The sequence below is a fragment of the Homo sapiens genome, chromosome 15, assembly GCF_000001405.40.
Source record: "Homo sapiens chromosome 15, GRCh38.p14 Primary Assembly".
NCBI lineage: Eukaryota > Metazoa > Chordata > Mammalia > Primates > Hominidae > Homo > Homo sapiens.
This window is the reverse complement of record NC_000015.10, coordinates 65,958,388-65,979,427: the sequence shown is the minus strand read 5'-3', so window position 1 is coordinate 65,979,427 and position 21,040 is coordinate 65,958,388. Positions and strand designations below refer to the sequence as shown.

The window sequence follows — 21,040 nt, the reverse complement described above, 5'->3', positions numbered from 1 at the left end:
TCACAGGGACAGATGGGAGGACACCTGCAGGGCCCATCGATGCAGGCACAGTCTTGACAGAATTTTTTTAGGGCAGGAAAGGACCTTGGGGACCACTTGGTCCCACAGTATCCAAACCTGACTGCACCCCAGAGCTGACAAGGGGGTGGTGGGGGGTTAAAATACAGATTCCCAGGCTGCATCTGTGACCTCCTGGGACTGGGGGATCTCTATTTTTAATAAGCTCCCCAGATGGTTCTGAGGCAGCCAGTCCTGTCTGCAGGTCTTCATTTGGAAAGAACTGATCCAGACCATAGGACTTCCTTCTGTGTTTCACAGAACCCTAGGGTTTCTTGACGGAGAGTGGGGGCAGGAGCCTAATCGTTAGGACTCTGGTGCCCACCCCACCCCCACCTCTCCATTTTAATCTAGTTTCTATATTGAGGTGCTCTAGGTAAGATTTCACATAAAAACAGGGTTTCCCAGCTTTAAGAGATTTGAATCCCACTGGTCTGTCAATACCTTCCTTTCTCAGATGAAGAAGCTGAGGCTCAGAGAGGGTAAGGGACCTGTTCAAGTCCACACTGGTGGTTAGGAGTGAGGTGGAGCTAGAATCCAAGTCTTCTGACTCCCAGCCCTTGGTGTCTGTCTGTCCATCTGTCTGTCTCCTCTGAGGAAGAAAAAGGGACCGCCACCACCTTTTCTTCCACCCTGAACCAGTCTCTGGAAAGACCCTCTCATCTCCAACCAGCTTTCAGAAATCCACCCAGCAGGCTGGGTCCTCAGAGGCCCAGCTGCAGCAGAAAGGTTGGATCAGGATGTGGTGGGGAGAACAAGCACACAGCATCCCTTTGCCTGTAAAGGCCTCTCTGGAGACACTGCTGAGGCTCGGGTGGTTGAACAGGGGGAAGGTGAGAAGCAAACACATGGAGGGATTGTATTTCTCCCCAGCACAGCAAGAGGTTTGTTTTTCCAGATGACAGGAAACTGTCGATAGAAGCCTTTGGATTTGAGGACTTTATGTTTTTAATTTTATTGTAGACAATTGAATTTCTATTTTTGACATAGCATTTAACTTGCAGATTTGTATGAATCATTAATACCCCTTGTGCATGCAGAGTCACTGTATAATGAAGTTGCATTCATGCCTGAGGCTCCTCCCAGGGAGAGCTGGGACCAAGGAATGGATACTGGGGAGAAGGCTTCCCACTTTAGCATCTTCTGTTGCCTGACTTCCCAATGGCCCTATGTGACTTCAACCACACATTTTCCAACTCAGAGATATAGAGATTGCTTATTCACACCATGCACCTCCCCAAAGACCCAGGCCATTGTGTGGAACTGGAGAGAGGAGCTGCTAGGAACTCTGGCCCTCCAGGCCCCTCCTCAGAGATTCCTGGCCACCAGGCCCTAAGCATGCCCACAGGATATTCCGCTAGCCCAACATGAAGCCTGTTTCAGGAGGGGTCTTTGCAAAGAGCCTGGGGAATTGTTTCTCCTCTTTTTCTGGGCTCTGAGACCTTTCAAAGCAGAGAAACCAAGTCTGAGTAGTTTCATGTGAGTGGGCACTAGAGACAGAGAGGCAGGAGGAAATAGGATTGACATCCCCCACCCTTAGGAGTTCACAGTCTTACGTTGGGGACTGGATGCAGTGTGTGTGTGCCTACATGCATACACACACACACACAAAGAAAAGACTGGAAGAGAGGAGGCTGAGGAGCTGGGAAATAGGACCAGTTATCCTAGAGGGCCAAAGAGAGGTTTTGCATGGTGAAACCCTATCTCCACTAAAAATACAAAAAATCAGCCAGACATGGTCGTGGGCACCTGTAATCCCAGCTATTCGGAGGCTGAGGCAGGAGAATTGCTTGAAACCAGGAGGTAGAGGTTGCAGTGAGCCAAGATTGCGCCATTGCACTCCAACCTGGGTGACAGAGCAAGACTCCATCTCAAAAAAAAAAAAAAAAAAAAGAGGGAGAGAGTTTTTGGGGCCGAGGCCTAGCATCACAGATGCTCAGGTTTGAGAAGGAAGATTCATGGAGCCCCACTTCCCGGCCTGTGGCCTGGATCACCTTCACAGCACCCATACCAACCACAGCTCACTGTCCATTGAGGGTGTCCATGCCACCCTGGAGCATCACTGATCATTAGAAATGCCTTCAGATGCTTGATGAGGCTGAGTTGCCTCCCCTCCAGGAGAGCTGGCATGGCCTTAAGTCCTTTCACCATCTTGGCCCCTTCTCTTTTTATGTTCCACTTAGCCAAGATCCTCTTTTTTTTTTGAGACGGAGTCTCAATCTTGCCCAGGCTGGAGTGCAGTGGCACGATCTCGGCTCACTGCAAGCTCCGCCTCCCAGGTTCATGCCATTCTCCTGCCTCAGCCTCCCAAGTAGCTGGGACTACAGGCACCCGCCATCACGCCCGGCTAACTTTTTGTATTTTCAGTAGAGACGGGGTTTCACCGTGTTAGACAGGACGGTCTCGATCTCCTGACCTTGTGATCTGCCCTCCCAAAGTACTGGGATTACGGGCCTCCCAAATTGCTGGGAGTATAGGCATGAGCGACTGGACCTGGCCGCCAAGATCCTCTTAAAGTGCGACTGTTGTCCAGATTTTGACAAAGCCATTTGGTCTAACCAGTTCTGAGAGGAACAGAAAATATCACCTTACCCCATGTACAACCTTCTAGATGCCACAGCAGTCCAAGATCCCACTACAATTGGAGATACACACTTAACTGACCACAGGGCAAGTACATGAATCTGTTGAGGCTGCCATAACAAAGTGCCACAGACTAGGCGGCTTGAACAACAGAAACTGATTCTCACAGTTCTGAAGGCTGAAAGTCCAAGATCAAGGTGTCGGCAGCGTTGGTTCCTTCTGAGCCTCTTTCCTTGGCTTGTAGATGGCCATCTTCTCCCTGTGTCTCTATGTCGTCTTTTTTCTGGGTCTGTCTTAGTCTCCTCTTCTTGTAAGGACATGAGTCATGTTGGATGAGAGCCCCCCCATATGACCTCATCTTAACTTGATTACCTATGTAAAGGTCCTGTTTCCAAATACAGTCACATTCTGAGGTACTGGAGGTTAAAACTTCAGCATAGGAATGTTGGCCGGGCGTGGTGGCTCATGCCTGTAATCCCAGTACTTTGGGAGGCCGAGGCGGGTGGATCACCTGAGGTCAGGAGTTCAAGACCAGCCTGGCCAACATGATGAAACCCAGTCTCTACTAAAAACAAAAATTAGCTGGGTGTGGTGGCACATGCTTGTAATCCCAGCTATTCAGGAGGCTGAGGCAGGAGAATTGCTTGAACCTGGGAGGTGGAGGTTGCAGTGAGCTGAGATCACATCATTGCACTCCAGCCTGGGCAACAGAGCGAGACTCCATCTCAAAAAAAAAAAAAAAAAAAAGGAATGTTGAAGGGGTACACTTCAGCTCATTGCAGCAGGAGAGAAACCACAGGCCATAGCCCTCTCCTAAGCTGACTTCTCTGGCTGCTCTCTCCCCCTGCCTCTCCCCAAAAGGCTGTTCTTCCAGCCAGCAGTGGGTGATGACTCCTACAGTTCTCTTCTACTCTTCTCAGTCTCAGGATATATGGGGCTCCCACCATGTGCCACCTCATCAGGTGTCAACTTGGTTCAATTACTATTAATTAAGTGCCCCCTGTTTAAGGCACTGTACTAGGTTCCTTCACATCTCTAATCTCACTTCGTCTTTATAACCACCTGGAAGACTAGGAGTTACTACTCCCATTTTATAGATGAGAAAATTAAGGCTCAGAATGATCACCTGACTTATCCTAGCTCACCTATCTGGGAGGAGGCAGAGCTGGGATCTGAGCCCAAATCATGACTTTGAACCCAGTGCTCTTCCCACCAGACCAGGCAACAGGACCTCCAAGATATCAAATTCTCTCAGGCCCCATGAGCTCAAACCAGGGAAGAGGACTAGAGATTCGGCGGGCTTGGATGCCTGCAGTTTGGGAATCCTGAGCAGGGGCTGAAAGAGGTGCTCACCCACTTCACTAAAAAGTCTCAAGGATGCTTGATTTCCCTAGGGAATGCCGGAAGGATGCATTCTACGTACCAGACTTCTCTATTGACCTCAGAGAGCACTGGTTGTGTCTGAGAAGTACTAAAAAGGACAGGAACCTGGCCAGATGTGGTGGCATGAGCCTGCAGTCCCAGCTCCTCAGAAGGCTGAGGCGGGAGGATCACTTGAGCCCAGAGGTTCAAGGTTACAGTGAGCTGGGATGGCACCACTGCACTTCAGCCTGGATGACAGAGTGAGACCCCATCTCTTTTGGCTGGGCATAGTGGTTCATGCCTGTAATCTCAGCACTTTGGGAGGCTGAGGCAGGCAGACCACCTGAGGTCAGGAGTTCAAGACCAGCCTGGCCAACATGGTGAAACCCCATCTCTACTAAAAATACCAAAAATTAGCTGGGCGTGGTGGCGGGCACCTGTAATTCCAGCTACTCAGGAGGCTGAGATGGGATAATCGCTTGAACTCAGGAGGTGGAGGTTGCCATGAGCCGAGATCACATCATTGCACTCCAGCCCGGGCAACAAGAGCGAAACTCCATCTCAAAAAAAAAGAAAGTTTTTCCAAGAGTGTCCTTATCCAGCCCAGGACTGTAGAAGACTGAGTCAGATAGAAGCCAGAAAGACTTCTCCTCCCTTTTGAATACCTAGAACTTATAATGTGCACTGAGAGAGGCCCCCGCCATGCCTGGAGTACCCCCACACCTCCAGGAGGAAGAAGGACCCCTACTCTGACTTTTCTTTTTTTCTTTTGAGATGGAGTCTCACTGTGTTGCCCAGGCTGGAGTGCAGTGGCACAATCTTGGCTCACTGCAACCTCCGCCTCCCAGGTTCAAGTGATTGTCCTGCCTCAGCCTCCCGAGTAGCTGGGATTACAGGCACCTGCCATCACGCCTGATTTTTGTATTTTTTACTAGAGATGGAGTTTCACCTCGCTGGCCAGGCTGGTCTTGAACTCCTGACCTCAAATGATTCACCTGCCTTGATGTCCCAAAGTGCTGAGATTGCAGGCATGAGCCACCGCACCTGGCCTGAGTGACTCTTCTCTCCCCTTTTCTCACACACACGCATTCTCTCACTGTCCTCGGCTGCTTCTGCCCTTCACTCCTCCCTCCCCTCCCCGCCTCAGCCCCTCCTCTTAGCCCCCCTACTTCTGACTTGTGTGTGGAGGAGAGTCTAAGCTGAATGGCCTCCTGTTTAACTCATTACAAGTAAACTGGATGATCTTGAAAGATGACTCTGGTCTGGCACAATTTTCCTGAATAAACTAGCTTCTGCAGGGTTGGTGATTATTGGTGCTTAATAATTGTGTGTTGAACTAATTGATTAATTAATTGGAGGAACATCCTTGATCTCCATAAGAGAAATGACTGTCGGGTATGCGCAGGGCTGGAAGGGCAGCAGGAGACAAGAGCAGGCTCAGATCTGTTAAAAACCTAAGACTCATGCATGTAATTTTAAGTTATATAATACCACAAGGCTAATACTGGGGGGCAGGGGAGTCCCCTGCTCCATTTACAAATCCTGCTCCCTAAAGGCAACACTTTCAAATCTTTTAGGTATTTCTTCTGGCATTTCCCTCCATTTTTCTACATAACATGCTTTATAGCCGTTTCTTGACTTTTCCATCTTAGACAGTCATTGAATCCATTGACTTTCTGCCACAGAATAAGATTCAGCTCTGTCATACACACCCATACAAACACGCAACCCCTCTCCCACCCTCCCAGTGGAGTTATATTACAATTTGTGGTTAAATCATTTAAAAAAGTTTTAAGACACGGGATTTGGCTGTGTCGCCCAGGCTGGAGGGCAGTGGCTATTCACAGGCACAATCATAGCTCACTGCAGCCTTGAACTCCTGGGCTCAAGTGATCCTCCTGCCTCAGCCTCCTGAGTAGCAGGGACTACAGACAGGTGCCACCATGTCCAGTTTGGTTAAATTATTTTTTAATATTTATGTTAATATACATGTGTATTGTTACTAATTTATCCTTAAAACTCTCTAACAGAGCTCTCAAACTCCTCTCAATAAGGTCAGACCCATTAGAAGTCTCTCCAGTTTTTGCTTTTGTTTTGTTTTTGAGGCAAGTTTCTTAGAAGCCTGTCTCTTCTGTTCCAGTCTGAACTCTTTAACTCTTTGCTCTCCAGGCCTGCAGCATAGCTGTCATCTGGGGCTTCCTTTCACTGCTATCCTGGGATTCCTTTTACCTCTGTCTTCTGTTGCAGTCCCTAGTTCCTGGAATTCATGCCTTTCTTTTTCTTGGGTAATTCTTTTTTTTTTTTTTTTGAGACAGAGTTTTGCTCTTGTTGCCCAGGCTGGAGTGCAGTTGTGTGATCTTGGCTCACTGCAACCTCCACCTCCCAGGTTCAAGCGATTCTCCTGCCTCAGCCTCCCCAGTAGCTGGGATTACAGGCATGTGCCACCACGCCCGGTTAATTTTGTATTTTTATTAGAGACGGGGTTTCTCTATGTTGGTCAGGCTGGTCTGGAACCTCAGGTGATCCACCCACCTCAGCCTCCCAAAATGCTGGGATTACAGGCGTGAGCCACCGTGCCCAGCTTTCTTGAGTAATTCTTTTTGATGGAAAACAAATCCTACAATAGCTTTCTGAGAAAGTGTTTATGGAAGGTTAACTTTTTGAGGCTGTTCAAATCTGAAAATGTCTTTACTGAGTCCCCTACTTGAGTGTTAGTTTAGTTGGGTGTAGAATTCTAAGTTGGAAATTATTTTTTTCCTCTGGATTTTTAAGGCATTGCTCCATTGTCTTCTGGCTTCCAGTTAAGAAGTCTAAACCCTCTTAATTCCTGATTTTTGTATGTTTGTTTTCCTCTTTGTATTTTCATTTTTATTTGTTTTTGTAGAGATGAGATCTTGCTTTGTTGCCTAGGCTGGTCTCCAACTCCTGGGCTCAAGAGATCCTCCCGCCTCAGCCTCCCAAAGTGCTAGAATTATAGGCATGAGCCACCATACCTAGCCTGTTTTCCTCTTTCTAAAATCTGTTAACATCATTTCTTTATCCACAGAGATATAAAAGTTTACGATAACATGCCTTGATGTGGGTCTTGTTTTATATTTTTGCTAAAGACTTTGTAGGCCTTTTCAGTTCAGAAACCCAGGTTCTCCATCCTTCCATTCTGGGAAATTTTATTATATTTTCCATCAATTTACTCACCTCTATTTTCTCTGTTCTACTGTCTGGAACTCCTGTTAATTAGATGTCAGACCACCTGAATTGGTCCTCTATATTTTCTCTATTATTTTTAATCTCATCTCTCTATCTTTGTCTCTCTCTCTCTGGTATACTTTATAAATTTCCTCAACTTTATGTTTTGGCTCTTCTATTGCAACATTTTAATTTCCACCATTTTATTTTTAATTTTCAAGACCTCTTTCCTATTCTCTGGATATCCTATTTTATAGCACTCTGTTCTTTCATAGGTGCAATGTTTTCTTATAGCTACATGAGCATGTTCATTTTAATTATGACAGAGGCTTTTTTCCTTCTCTTTTTTTAGGTTTTCCTTGCTCCAGGCATGGTTCCTATTTCCTCTGTGTTCCTGTTGCCTATTTGTTTATTTCAGTGTTTCTCTTTCATGTGAGGGCCTATTTCAAATATCTGGTGATCCTTGGCCATCTGTTCATGTTTTACAGTGAGCCCCAGAAAAGCCAATTGGACACCTGGGGGTGGAGGGAGATGTCAGGCGTGTTGACTGATGGGACCCTCAACTATCAATATCTTTAGGTCATTTCTCTTGAGCTCCTCAGTGTCCCTAGAAAGGAACCCTCCAACCTCCTGCCACAGGGAGTTCAGTCCGGCAGTCAGCCTTTAGGAGCGCAGCAGGGAAGAGAGCAGCAGGAGAGTTCCACCCCCACCTTCATCTGTGCCTGTGTCCCTTGTCCACAGCCTGTGACACCAACCTCTCTGAAAGACTTGGACAATTCACCTGGCTGCTATTCAAGGTGGGGGCAGAGATTGGGGGTCTAATTCCCTATTTTATAAACTTTCAAACAGTCCTGTTTTGATCATACCTGCACCTTCACCTTCGGAGGGTCCCAGTGTCTCTGATTCCTGAGCTTTTTGAGGTTACAAAGGATTTCATCATCCAGCATTGTGACGCTCCCTTTGCAGGCACTTAACATTGCCCAGGAAGCAGAAACCAAAGCAGTTATCACTCCTCCACCTGCTTTTCCATCTTCCAGTGTGTGACATCCTTTGTCTCCTATTCCTCTTTTCTTTGTGGGTTTATACCTGTACCCCTTTGACTCTCATGTCAGCTGGGTTTGAGAAAGAAGCTGAGCAAAGTGCACGTCTCCATACCAGCATGTTTACTCAGCCTCCTTCCTTATGTCTTCTCAGCACTTTACTGTGTACCCATGTGAGAGTACTTACTGCCTTGTACTTAGCGGTTTTTTTGGCTCTTTCTGTGGTAGACTAGGAGGACAGGAATCAAATCGAATCACCCCTAGTGTCTCACACAGCACCTCGTATACAATAGGCAGTTCCTAAATTGTGCTGAATAACTGGATGAGCAAGTTGGCCTCAGTCTCCCATCTCCCATCTCTAAGAGGAGGGCTTTGGAGCCCTGGTGTCCAGCTGTCTGAACTTCTTCTGGGAAGTTGGGTGGTCCCTGGAGCCACAGCAGGTGTGCCATTCCCAGGAAAGTTTGGCATTTCTGGAGCACCGCCATGCATGTCTTCCCACCTTTCTTTTAGGGAGCAGTGTGTGCCCAGCCCTGCCCACCAGGGACATTTGGCCAGAACTGCAGCCAGGATTGTCCTTGCCACCATGGAGGGCAGTGTGACCACGTGACTGGACAGTGCCACTGTACAGCTGGATACATGGGGGACAGGTAAGGATAGTGTTAACTGTTATCTTTGCTGTCCATTTTACTCATATTCATAGGAGACTTGCAGAGAACAGCTCATAGCCCTCTCTCTGCCAGCCTTCCAGTTCCTTTCTCAGAAAGCACTCTGAGCTCTCCTGCCAGGGAGGGTTGGCACCTGATCCCTCCTCACCCTCGGCCTGCAGAGACACCCTCTTCTCTAGCCTAGTGGCCCAAGCCCTGAATTTAAATGGGCTCACCTGGGGGAAGGAGGTGAGCACCTGCCCCCACTCTCTACTCTCTGCACTCATAGAGGGAGGCAATGGCACAGATAATCCAAGGAAGCTGAGAGTACAAAATCACTTCATTCATATGTTTTGCACGATTTCTTCTGGAAGGGCATTTTTAGTCCTAATTTGGGTTCCACCAAAAGGATACTGGCATCAGTTTGCATCCTCTGAAGGCTTGTGGCTTAAGAGCAGACTGAAGGACGGTGCCAATGTCCTGGAATGAAACCAGCCTTGCAGAGTGGATAATCAAAAAAACACAGAACTGGGGAATTGCCATGTGTGCACATGTGCCACAGCGGGAAGAAGGAGGCCATGATGACAGGGCAGGTGCAGAGGAAAAGGGAGAAACAGCAACCGGTGTGTGTGATGGTGAGTAGATTGGAAGCTGGAAAAAGATATTTGAAACCCACAGAACCCAGGCCAAGTCTCCTCCCTCTCACTCTTGACCACATGGATCTCTTCAAGCAGAGAAGGGCCGTACAGAGGCAGCCCCCACACCCCATGCCTGGTTCTGTGGGGATCCATGTTTCATTTCTGGCTCTTGGACTTTATACTCTTCTCAGACAAAATGAGGAAACATTTTTCATCATTCCATGCCTGGGTGACATCAGAAAGCCGGGATGTAGGCTGAGTTAACCAATGAATCCCTCCATTTCTAATAGACATAATCGGGGCTCCTCCAGCTCCCACTAGAATCAGCCCCAAATCCTTAGTGATGTCCAGAAAAGAGATTGTCCATTAGCCTTGGGCTTATTTACCTCCAGCTGGAAGTCTTTTAAGCCAGATCTGATCTCTTTGTGAGCCAGTGTTCATCAACACTGTTCCCCAGCATAGAACGTGGGGTGTGGCATCTGGGGATCCATCCCTCCCTGACCCATGGGAGAGAGGGCTGAAACATTGAGTGCATGTTCCCATCCTCACCATCTCCCCAAATAAGGAAATGCTCAGGATGAGCCAGTACGGACTGGAATCAGGAAGATCCTCAAGCCAGCACAGGACTCCTTTTTCAGTCCACTTTCTCATGAGAGTGCAAACCGCCCGCTTGTTGTTGGAAATGAGCAGGCCCAGGGCTCTAGCCGGCTGGACTCCATACCAGTAGACCCTAGCTCATTGGTGCTGTCGATTTTCCCTGTCGAGATGTGCCAAATAGAGAAAGAATCCAAAATCTCTCTGCTTGTTGGAGCCTGGTCCATGATCCTGGGCAGAGAGGAACCCCTAAAGCCAAGGGGCCCTCCAGCAAGCTTTGCCAATCAACCACAGGAGGGTTCAATAGGAGGCCAGGCAGCATTTGGGCTTCTCACCTAAACGGGCTGCCTGGTGTTTAATATTTTGTAAAATTGCCTCCATTAATTTCGTAGGTGACAGCTGCATTAACCCACCCCAAATCATCATGAGCATATTAAAGTTGAGTGGGTGTAATAATGCAGGCCTCCCCGGATAGGCAGAAACCAGTGCAAATTAAACACGAAATGTAACGAGGGCTTTGCAGCTCATTTTGTAATTTAATTGAGCAATGTATCTGGTTGTTAATGGCAATATTGGACACATTAGATTGATATGGTGCAAAGGAAGGATGTTTAAGTAGAAAACTAATTCCTGCTGTGATTATCCTTCTGTTCCGCAGGCCCCATTATTAGCATGCTTTGTGTAAAATTCATTAGCCATCGTTGCTTGATCTCTAAATAAATAAGTTGTTTAAATTGTGAGTAGGGAAAAAAAAAAGAGGCTGATTAAGTAAATGAATTAGGTTGTCAATATTTCATTTCCAGATTGTTTTTCTGGGGCTGTAGATCCAGGCACCCCAAAAATATAGTGGGCTAGGGAATTGCCCTTCAGAGGAGTTTAGGGTTCAGGGCTCTGTCCAGTCCTGCTAAGCAGGAGGGAGCAGGAATGTTTGAAAAGGAACAGGTATCAGGAGGTATCTGGTTTGAGTTTTTCACCCGACATTTGAGACATTCGAGGCCAGCAAAGCACAGTGACTTCTGGAGAAATCCATTTGCAGGCTGAACAGGGGCTGGCAACTCAGATAGTGATTATTTGGGTCTTCAGCTGCTCTTTTTCCTCCCCTTCTGCCTCAGTTTCCCTCCTTCCCTTCCCCCATTCTACTTCTCCTCCTTCTGTCTTCTACTTTCCATTCCTTCTCCAGACATCACCTTCTTTCTTGCCTCCTCTTCCCTCTCTTTTCTGCTCTCTTTCCCTTCATGAGGCCTCAGATTGGCTGAAATATGACAAGATTTGCAGAAAGACAATCTGGGGTCATCTTAGCCACATGCAGGCTGCGTGAGCTTGGAGCAGTTGCCTCACTTGTCTCATGGCAGCCTCCTTAACTCTAAAGTGAGGGTGATGAGAATATGTGCTGCTCCAGGGGCTGGGGACAGGCTCTGGGGCCTGAGCAGCTGGAAGCCCCTCAGTATACGGTGCCCGGGGGTGTTGTCATCATGATCCCTGCTGCCCCACTATTCTGCCAGATCACTCCTTTGCTACAGTGGCTCTGAGAGGGGAGAGCTAGTGGCATCTTCTTGGGAAGGAAGCACTCAAGGCCAGACCCCAGTCACCGTCCTCTTCTCCTTGTCACTGTGGGCACAGAGCAGCAAAGGCACAGAACAGAGACAAGGACACCCCAGTCTCAAGTTGCCAAGGCTGGTGCCCCACACACTGGCTGCTCTCATCCCCCACACACTTGCTAGCTGGCCCTGCCACATCCACGAGGGTCTGACCACTCACCCTCACCATAGACAACTGAGTCATCCAGACACAGAATCTCCCTGCCCTGTCTGTAGAAGAATACTTCCACCCCCACGATCCTCCAAAATACATAATAAAGAAGTTAGAGCTGTATTTTTTTTTAAATTGCTTTTCCCCTCTGATTACTGTAGAAGATATACAGAAAGCCTGGAAAATGGAAACATATGATAATTAAAACACTAACTCCTTAAATCCACTCTACTATTAACATTTTAGAATTTTTCCCTTTGGGCTTTTTCATGCCTGAATTTAAGGCCAGAAGGTCAGATGGGCTCTGTTATAAGAACTGTTGAAAACAATATTAACATGAGTACTAGTGAAAATAACTAACTTTTCTAATTGAGCCCCAATTATGGTCTGGGCGCCTTTCTAAATGTTTACACGCATTATCCCATTTAATTCTTACAGAACCCGATGAGGTTTAGTGAGTATCGTCCCATTTTATGAAAAAGAAGAGGATGTCAGAGCTTTAGGTTAGTTCTCCATTATCCGCACTGTTGAATCAGTGCTGGAACAAAGATATCCCAGAACCCCAGAGGCTAGAGGCCATTTCCATTTGTCTTTGGGATGCCAGAAGTCATCCCCCTCTTTTACCCCTATTCCTCCAGGTTTAACCCTTGACTTATCCGGATCTAGTTGCTGTGACAATAAGTCTGCATCCTCTGGGAAAGAGCCCAGGGTGGGGGTAAGGGGTGTTGAGGCACATTCAGGAAACCAGGTGGTCAGCAGTGGGGGGTCACACTCGCCCACGGAGGAGCCACACCCATGGCTGTGGGTTAAATGAAGTTGAATAATTATCCTTATGTTGGGATCTCCAAGTACTAGCCCAGACACACACAGGACACAAAGGTGGTCCCAGGCTTCCTCCTTAGGGGCTCACAGGCTGATGGGAGAGACTCAGACCCTACCTTGAGGGGACCTTCTTCCAAGGAAGGGAAAATAGCCTTGTCACAGGGCATTCTATAGTCCAATGCAGGAAGACGCTTCCTCTACTCGAGGGAAAATCCGCAGTCAGGGAGGAGATATGTCTCCCAGTAGGACAAGAGAGACTGTACATCTGGCCCAAAGGCTCAAAAACCAGAGATACTGTATAGAAACAAAATCACCCCATTTCATCAAACCTAAGGTGCCACTGATCGTAAGATGCATCACTGTTTCATATGCTGCAAAGAATGAAAAACACTGGCAATTAAACTATGACATGTCACCAATTACAAGACTTATCTAATTTCAGAGATATAAAAATATCTTTTAAAAACAAGGTGGCTCATGCCTGTAATCCCAGCACTTTGGGAGACCGAGGCAGGCGGATCATGAGGTCAAGAGATTGAGACCATCCTGGACAACATGGTGAAACCCCGTCTCTAGTAAAAATACAAAAATTAGTTGGGCGTGGCAGTGCACCCCTGTAGTCCCAGCTACTCGGGAGGCTGAGGCAGGAGAATAGCTTGAACCTGGGAGGCGGAGGTTGCAGCAAGATCATGCCATTCCAGCCTGGGCAACAGAGTGAGACTCCATCTCAAACAAACAAAAAAAGCAAGGTGTTTTTAAACCTACCTAAACAGTTTTTTGTTTAATGGGTGCAGAGTTTCAGTTTGGGAAGACGGAAACATTCTGGAGATGGGTGGTGGTGATGTGGCACAACAGTGCGAATGTGCTTAATGCCACTGAACTGTACGTGGTTAAAACAGTCAATTCTATGGGGTGTACTGTCTTAGTCTGCTCATGCTGCTATAACAAAATACCCAAGACTGAGTAATTTATAAACAATGGACATTGATTCTCACAGTTCTGGAGGCTGAGAAGTTCAAGATCAAGGGGCCGACAGGTTTGGTGTCTGATGAGGGCCCCAATCTCTGCTTCCAAAATGGTGCCTTGAAGCCTGCATCCTCAGAGGGCGAAAAGAATAGAAGAGCCAAAAAAAAAAAAAAGAAAAAAAAAAAAGAAAGAAAGAAAGAAAGAAAGAAAGAAAGGGACCTCACTGGCTCCCTCCAGCCCCTTTTATGAAAGCACTAATCCATTCATACCCTAATCACCTCCCAAAGGCCACACCTCCTAATACCATTGCATTGGGTGTTAAGTTTCAATGAGAATTTTGAGAGAAACATTTAAACCATAACCTGTATATTTCACCACAACTTTAATTTTTAAAAATTATTAGGCTTGGAATCAATAAAATATGGTGGTACAAACTCATTGCTGGGGGGACTGAGCCGACCTGGCATGAAAGGCAGAAATGACTGGGGCGAACTAAACCATGGACTACTTCCTGGAGGAGGAGAGAGAAAAGGGGAGGAGGCTGTGAGCAGCGTGGAGCACACCAGGCCTGGGCCAGATGGCCAGGAGGACCACATCCTGGAGGATCTTGAAGCACAGGTGAGGGATCCTGGCCCACAGCCTCAGCCCCACTCTGCTCTCCCACAGGTGCCAAGAGGAGTGCCCCTTCGGGTCCTTCGGCTTCCAGTGCTCACAGCACTGTGACTGCCACAATGGGGGGCAGTGTTCACCCACCACGGGTGCCTGCGAGTGTGAGCCTGGCTACAAGGGCCCACGCTGCCAGGAGCGACTGTGCCCGGAGGGCCTGCATGGCCCAGGCTGCACCCTGCCCTGCCCCTGTGACGCTGACAACACCATCAGGTATGAGCTGGGAATGGGCGAGCCCGGGACAAGGGCGGGGGGTGCTCAGGTAGAGAGGAGGCTTGCTAGGATGTGGCCCCCCACCTCTAGCATGGACATCCAGGCAGGTGGGGGAAAGGGCTAGGACCTCAGCACTGAGCCCTGAGAACCACTTTGATGAAAAGAAGGGGAAGCCAAGGCCACATAGCCACAGTCAGGACTAGAGCCAGATCACTCACCTCTGTCCACCCCACCTGGCTACCTGCATTTCCAAATGTGCCTGTCTGAGACTCCACACATGGGAGCAAGGAGAGAACAAGGAGGTGGGGTGGAGCACAGCTGCATGACCCTGGGGGCTAGGATGGCAGGGCTCGGGTGCCACAAGCTCTGAGCACATTGTCCTGGAGAATATTTCCCTCCACTTGCGTGGCATCCAACCAGAGACACGGGCACCAGGGCAGAAGTAGAGGCTTGAGCTGCAGAAGGTCAGGACTCGAAGGGACCTTAAAAATCACGAGGGCCATCCAGGGCCTAAGGAGGGTTGTCCCAGCAGACCCTGGCAAGGCTAGAGGAGCAGGAACAACAGGGGCAGCCCTTTATCAGGGCCTGAACTTGGGGCCAGCCCCTCCCCCAGCACTCTGTGTCGTTTGTGGCTTGGGGACATCCGGGCAGAAGTTGTCCCTCCACCCCCCACTTCCAAAGGAGCCTGAACCTGTGAAGGCAGAGCTGTTCTGGGCTACTGCTCCCAGCTCCCCTCCCTGCCCGCTTCACGCACCAGCTGGCACTGCCCCAGGTAACAATTGAGACTGTCAGCCCTGGATGAACGCCCCCACAGCCCTTTATCGTGGCTGCCTCTTATCTGGGTGATGAAGGTCAGGGGAGCATCCCTTCTCCCTCAGGCCTACGGACAGCCCAGGGAAGACCGGCCACCCTGGGCATGGGTGCTGCTGCTGTTGGCAGGGCAGACAGAGAATCCCTCTGCTTTGCAGCCCTGTCGCTGGGACGGCCAGGACTTAGCCTGGGCCCCTCTTCATTTCCAGGCTTTGATCTTTCACAAATCACTCTGGAGCCTCGTTCACTGCAAGCAGAGGCATGTCGGCAAGTGTTAACGAGTTAAACTAAAAGGTCCTCCCTCCCTGGAGTGGAGCAGCTGGGGTGGTGTGAGGCAGAGGTGGAAGGCCCGGGAAAGAGACTGTCCAGAGAGGGTGCTAGAGCCAGTGGAGCTGGCCTGTCCATGACCTGAGCATTCATTCACTCGGTCATTCATTCAACAAACACTGAGCGCCCACAGGGCTGGGCTATGAGGAGGAAACCCCGAGCACCTTCTACCGTATTTCTTCAAATACAAGACAATACCAGTAGTGAGGCATAGCTTTATTTGGGTTACTACTAGGAAAATTCTATCAACTGAACCATGACATACCATTGATTGTATAGCCAATATCAGAGATATGAATTACCCAATATCAGAGATGTGAAAATGTAGAGGAGAAGTACATCTTAGAACTGATGAAATATATGTGGCTGGCCCTGCTGGGTCCCAACATGTGCCCAAGTAACTGTGACCCAGGACTATGTGATGCTGGTCAGGGAAGGCTTCCTAGAAGAGGTGGCATCTGGGCTGGGTTTGGAGAGCAGAGTGAGAGCTCCAAGGCGCTAATTACAGAAATCTCATATGGCTGGTCAGGGGACTGGGCAGCTGGCTCAGACTGTTGCATGTGTCTAAATATTAAGATTCCAGAATCTGTCGCTCCTGCTGGGAAGCTGAGGGAGGACCCTCTCCAAGACAGGAAGCAAGGCTGATGCCGGGGTCCAATGCAGGGAGCTCCTGCCACAGAAATCTAACCAAGCCCCAAATTAAAGGGTTACTGTTTTCCTCCTGTGCCTGGGCAACCATGCCCTGTATAATTCATCCTTCCTCTGAAGGAGTCCTCGATGCATTATTAATCTGAAAGGACTCCCCCTCTTCTCTCCCGCTAATCTCAGCCCATCCAATATTGATGATTATTTGCTTTACTGTCTTTAAAACGTATCATGTTTCAGGGACTGGGAGGGAGTAGCAGTTCTTCAGAGTGGGGGCTCTGAGCGTGCCCACCAGTCTACTCCCCAGCCTGGTCTCCTCTGAGTCTGCATCACCACCTCCTTGAGGGCACCAGCAGCCTGGCTTGTCCATCCCTGTGGCCTCTAGCCTCAGCATTGCACGGTGCCTGCACAGAGTAGGCCTTCAGTAAGAGGAGTCCCTGAACTCATCTTAAACAGCCCATCCCTCTAGGAGGTTCTACCCATTAGCTGACGTCAACCCTATTTTTTAAAAAAACATATTTCTCCCTTTCTCTTGGTACACTGGCCCAGTGACTGAGCCCCTGGCACAAAGTTTTTGTTCAGTTGAAGTTAGGGTTTCTCAACCTTGCCACCATGAACATTTTGGGCTGGGTAATTCTTTGTTGTAGAGGGCTGTCCTGTGCTTTGTAGAATGTTGAGCAGCATCCCTGGCCTCTACCCACTAGATGCCAGTAGCACCCTTCTTCCACTGCCCAAGTTCTGACAATCAGAAATGTTTCCAGACATTGCCGGATGTCCCAGGGTGGGGTGGGGCAGGAAAAATTCCCAGAGGTTGAGAGCCTCTGGGCTAAATGAACTCTCTCGTGCTGCGCTTGATTGTTCTTATGGACACCAGAAAACAGCTCTCTTCCTCTATGTGGATGGAGGGCAGCCCCTCTCTTCCCATGAGCCTTTTTTGGCCCATTATAGAGTCTTCTCTTGAGATTCAAGAAAAGCAAAGGAATGACTCTGTGACTTCTAATCTTAAGACAGTTAAAGTTCAGGTACTGAGTGGGGATTGGGACTTCTGAGTCCTGCCCTCAAACCTATCTCTGTCTAAGCAAGTATCCGTAATAAGGGCACTTGATATATGCACATAAGATATACGTCCTTCTTCTCCTCTCTATGCATACGTTTCCCAATCTGTCCATCACCTTTCATCAACCCAGTGGGGGAAATGTTTTCCTGTGGTCTTTGAACGTGAAGCTTCCACCCAACTCCCTGAGATAAGGAACGTGGGATCCCTAGAAGCCTAGCCTCAAAGCTCCCTGCCTTCTGCAGAACTTACAACAAAGCCCCCACCACAACAGTGTGCAAGGTCTTGAGCATCTTTCCTAGGCAGAAAAAGTAATCCCAGCCCCCAGCCAAAGAAAGCCCTAGCCACCCAGCTCCAGCCTCTCTCTGGTCTGTGCCCTTCCGGCAAGGCTGCTGCACAGAGATTGAATCCATGCCCTGGGAAGGAAGAAGTGGCTGGTGAGATTCTCCAACTCTTCATTCCCTTTATCAATTATTTGCAGCACACACAAAGAAACCATCCTCCTTTATACAGGAATAACCTTGAGAGAGAAAGCACCTGTGTGTCAGGGATCTTAAATGTCCCCTCCACAATTGGGTTGTCATAGACTAATTCCAGCAGCCATGATCGTGTATTACCTTTGAAAGATTTGATTTAGCCAACAGATGCAGCATTGATAGAAATCTCATAGCAGCTGAAAGAAAGGCAGAAAAATCCACTCTGGAAGGATTCCTGTATTGTTCAGCTTTTGGTTCCTATTAACTTGTGATTAATCTATGTCTGGGGGAAATGGGAGAAAAGAAAAAACCAGAGAGAACGGAACCAGGCTAAACACAAGTGACTGTAACTTCTGCCTGAGCCAAAAACAGCAGTCCCTGGCCTGCCATGTGACTCAAGAGAATGGGGACCACCACCAGGAAGAAGGGATGCCTGGGAGAGGGGCTGTGCAAGTCACTCTGCTGAGGGACAAAGGTTCCAAGCATGGCAATCACAGCTCTCCATCATGATCAGTCAGCTGTCACTCTCCATCCTCTTTTCAAAGGGACTTTTGGAGTTTCTATAAGATAAGTAGAGTAATCAAATTAAGAAAGTAGATATCCCATTTCTAGAAGAATTGTAGGGATATGAAAAAAAAAAAGGAATGATTTTAGATTTGGTTTTGAGCCTTCTGGTTCTCAGAGTAAAGAGTAAAATTAGTGCCTAACATATCCCTGAGCAGCCAAAGTGATGGCAGCAGAGATCAAAAGCAGGAAATGCAAAGAGTACTTAGGTCAGCATTTGCTAGCTCGTTGTGTGTGGAGTGTGCTTTTCACCAGGTGGTGCCCTCACCAAAATAAGAGCGTGTAATGGATGAGCTCCAGCGTGACCATTTGCTAGGCAGAGACAGCAGAAGCATCTATTGATGGAAGAGACAGAAAGGTGCCTGAGACCTTTTAGAATCTCCAGTGCTCAGCAGAGCTGATGGCTGCAGCCAAGACCTGCCAGGTCATTCCTAGGTTCAAGCATGTCAGTCTCCACAACCGTGACTGAGCCAGTCTCTCTACGCTAACCCTAAACCTCAAAGGAAGCTCTTGGAAAGATGCAACCTAAAGAGAAGAGTGCTCCAAAACCATCTAGCAGAGCGTCAGGGCCACCAAGGGGCACGCCTTCCCCACGATACCCACGCAGGTCGCTGTCTCCCCTTCCAGTGCCTTGGGGCTCAGAGAGGAATTTTTCTCAAACTGTAAAGGTCAGAAAGTCTTTGAACACTCATCCTTTACACCCATTCTTCTTCGTTAGATATTTACAATTTTTATTGCTTTACATCTGTTTATAAATAAAATAGATGCTCAGTTTTGGTAAGTTAGGGAATACATTTAAAGAAAAAACTTAGCATCACTCAGTTTCTCAATCCAGAGATAGCACAAAAGCCATTTTGGGGTAAATCTGTCGATGTCTATATCGTTTTCATATTTTAGATTTGATATATTTTCATATTTGAAAGATTTGATTTAGCCAACAGATGCAGCATTGATTGATAGAAATGGCTTTGTATACAAAGTGCTTATTTCACTTGACCTTATATCATTAAACATTTTGAGAAACAACTGAATACATCTCTTAGCATTCCTTCATATGGATGTCATAATTCATTTAACCAATGCCCTGTGGTGAGAGGTGGCATGAGGCAGTGGACAAAATGTGGCCAGACAGACCTGGGTTTGAATCACAGCTTTGCCACTCACTGTCTTAGCTATGTGACCTTGGGCAAGTCACATAACCTCTAAATGCCATCTGTGAAATACAGGCTCAAATACCTAATTCACAGGCTTATTTGACGATTAGAAATATATATATAACGTGCCTGGTGCCTCAATAGCCTAGTCACATATTATTTATTATCATTTAAATTGCTTCCATTTTCCACTGTTATAAATAATGCTTCAGGGAACATCTCTGTGCATAAATCTTTCTCCACAGCTATGATTATTTCCTTAGGATAGAGTCTTAGAAATGGAATTATGAGACCAGAGTCTGAATAAAAGTATTAAAGTATTAAAGACTTAAAAGTAAGTCTCCTGATATGTAGCCTCAGATTGTTTTGAAACCTTTACCAGCATTTTAAAGCATCTTCACTGTTTTGATGGAGGAAAAGTGGTGTCCAATTGTTGTTTAGACTTGATTAATGAGACTAAACACTTTTCTGAAATGATTACTAGCTACTTGCAAGTATTATTCAGGAATTGCCTGTTCCTGTCCACCCCCTCATTTTCTGTGAGAAAACCAGGGTCCCTAGAAGAGAAACAGCTTGGCTAGGCTTCACACAATTAGTTTGCTCATTAATTAATTTTCTAAATATATATTAAGCACCTCCAGTGTGCCAGGGACTCTGTTGGGCCCTGAGAAGGGAACAAGACAAACGGCTCTCCCCCACGGAGCTGCAACCTAGTGGAGAAGACAGATGATAAATCAGTAGAAAAGAATAAAGAATCAATGGAAGATAATTATATTTAGAGGAAGCTGTATTCATTTCCCAAATATTCACCAGGGCAGTGAATATGAGCCAGGTGTTGGGGATCCACCAATGGTCCAGCGGGGCAAGGTGCCAAGGCCCCATGGAAGTTAGCAGAACCAAGACTTGCCCCAGGTTCTCCCTGCCAGCCCAGGGCATGCTTCTCTTGACCTTATCCCCAGAGCTGGGCTCCAGAGCAGGCAGGCCAGTGCCACAAGGAATCTAAAAGGCTTGTCTCTACCACCCAGCACTTCTTTGGTGTGTTAGTTTGAGCTGCTCCAGAAGCAGATACCAAGAGCAAGAGGTTTACTAGGGGAAGCATCTGTGAGGGAAAGTGGGGAGGAAGCTGAGGAGGCTGGGACAGCTGACAGATCACATGTAAGGAAGGAAGGAAAGTTGGGAGAAAGAGTCTTAACCCACAGCACGGTTCTAAGAAAGTTTGCCAGGATGGGGTATCTTAAAGCCAAGGTAACCATCAGAGGAGTCCCAGATCTCCCAAGAGTGTGCCCACCTTAGTATCCCTGCTGTGTTCCAGCTGGAAGTGGCGCAGGGGAAATGTGGCCTCTGGATTTCAAACTCAGCACTGGGGCCATAGGTCAATTATGCTCCCGCAGAAGTTCTGAACAGCACATGGTTACAACTGGCATCCCGCTGATCATGAATAGACATTGGCTATTGGATCAGATGGCTGCCAGCTAGAGGTTGCCCTACTC

At 47.8% G+C, this 21,040-nt stretch overlaps 1 protein-coding gene across 25 annotated transcripts in view, besides 1 other annotated feature; it reads left to right on the top strand.

The window, feature by feature from the left end:
* Positions 1-21,040, top strand: part of MEGF11 (multiple EGF like domains 11) — a 358,452-nt gene that overhangs the window by 274,323 nt on the left and 63,089 nt on the right. For 23 of the 25 annotated variants that reach the window (NR_169555.1, NR_169554.1, NR_169558.1 and 20 more), the window contains 2 exons: positions 8,739-8,875; positions 14,308-14,520. Coding sequence is in view for 20 of the 25 variants with exons in the window: in NM_001385030.1 (NP_001371959.1) it covers positions 8,739-8,875; positions 14,308-14,520 (350 nt within the window). In the remaining 5 variants the exon portion in view is untranslated. Of the gene's footprint in view, positions 1-7,834; positions 8,263-8,738; positions 8,876-14,307; positions 14,521-21,040 lie in introns of those variants that run through there. The other 2 variants (XM_017022674.3, XM_017022675.3) reach the window with 2 other exon arrangements.
* Positions 13,900-14,876: an enhancer, noted in NCBI's record as "H3K4me1 hESC enhancer chr15:66256890-66257866 (GRCh37/hg19 assembly coordinates)". NCBI's record gives its function as "activates a minimal SCP1, AML or CMV promoter by ChIP-STARR-seq in primed H9 embryonic stem cells {active_cell/tissue: H9 hESC(primed)}" and the evidence as "EXISTENCE:reporter gene assay evidence [ECO:0000049][PMID:30033119]".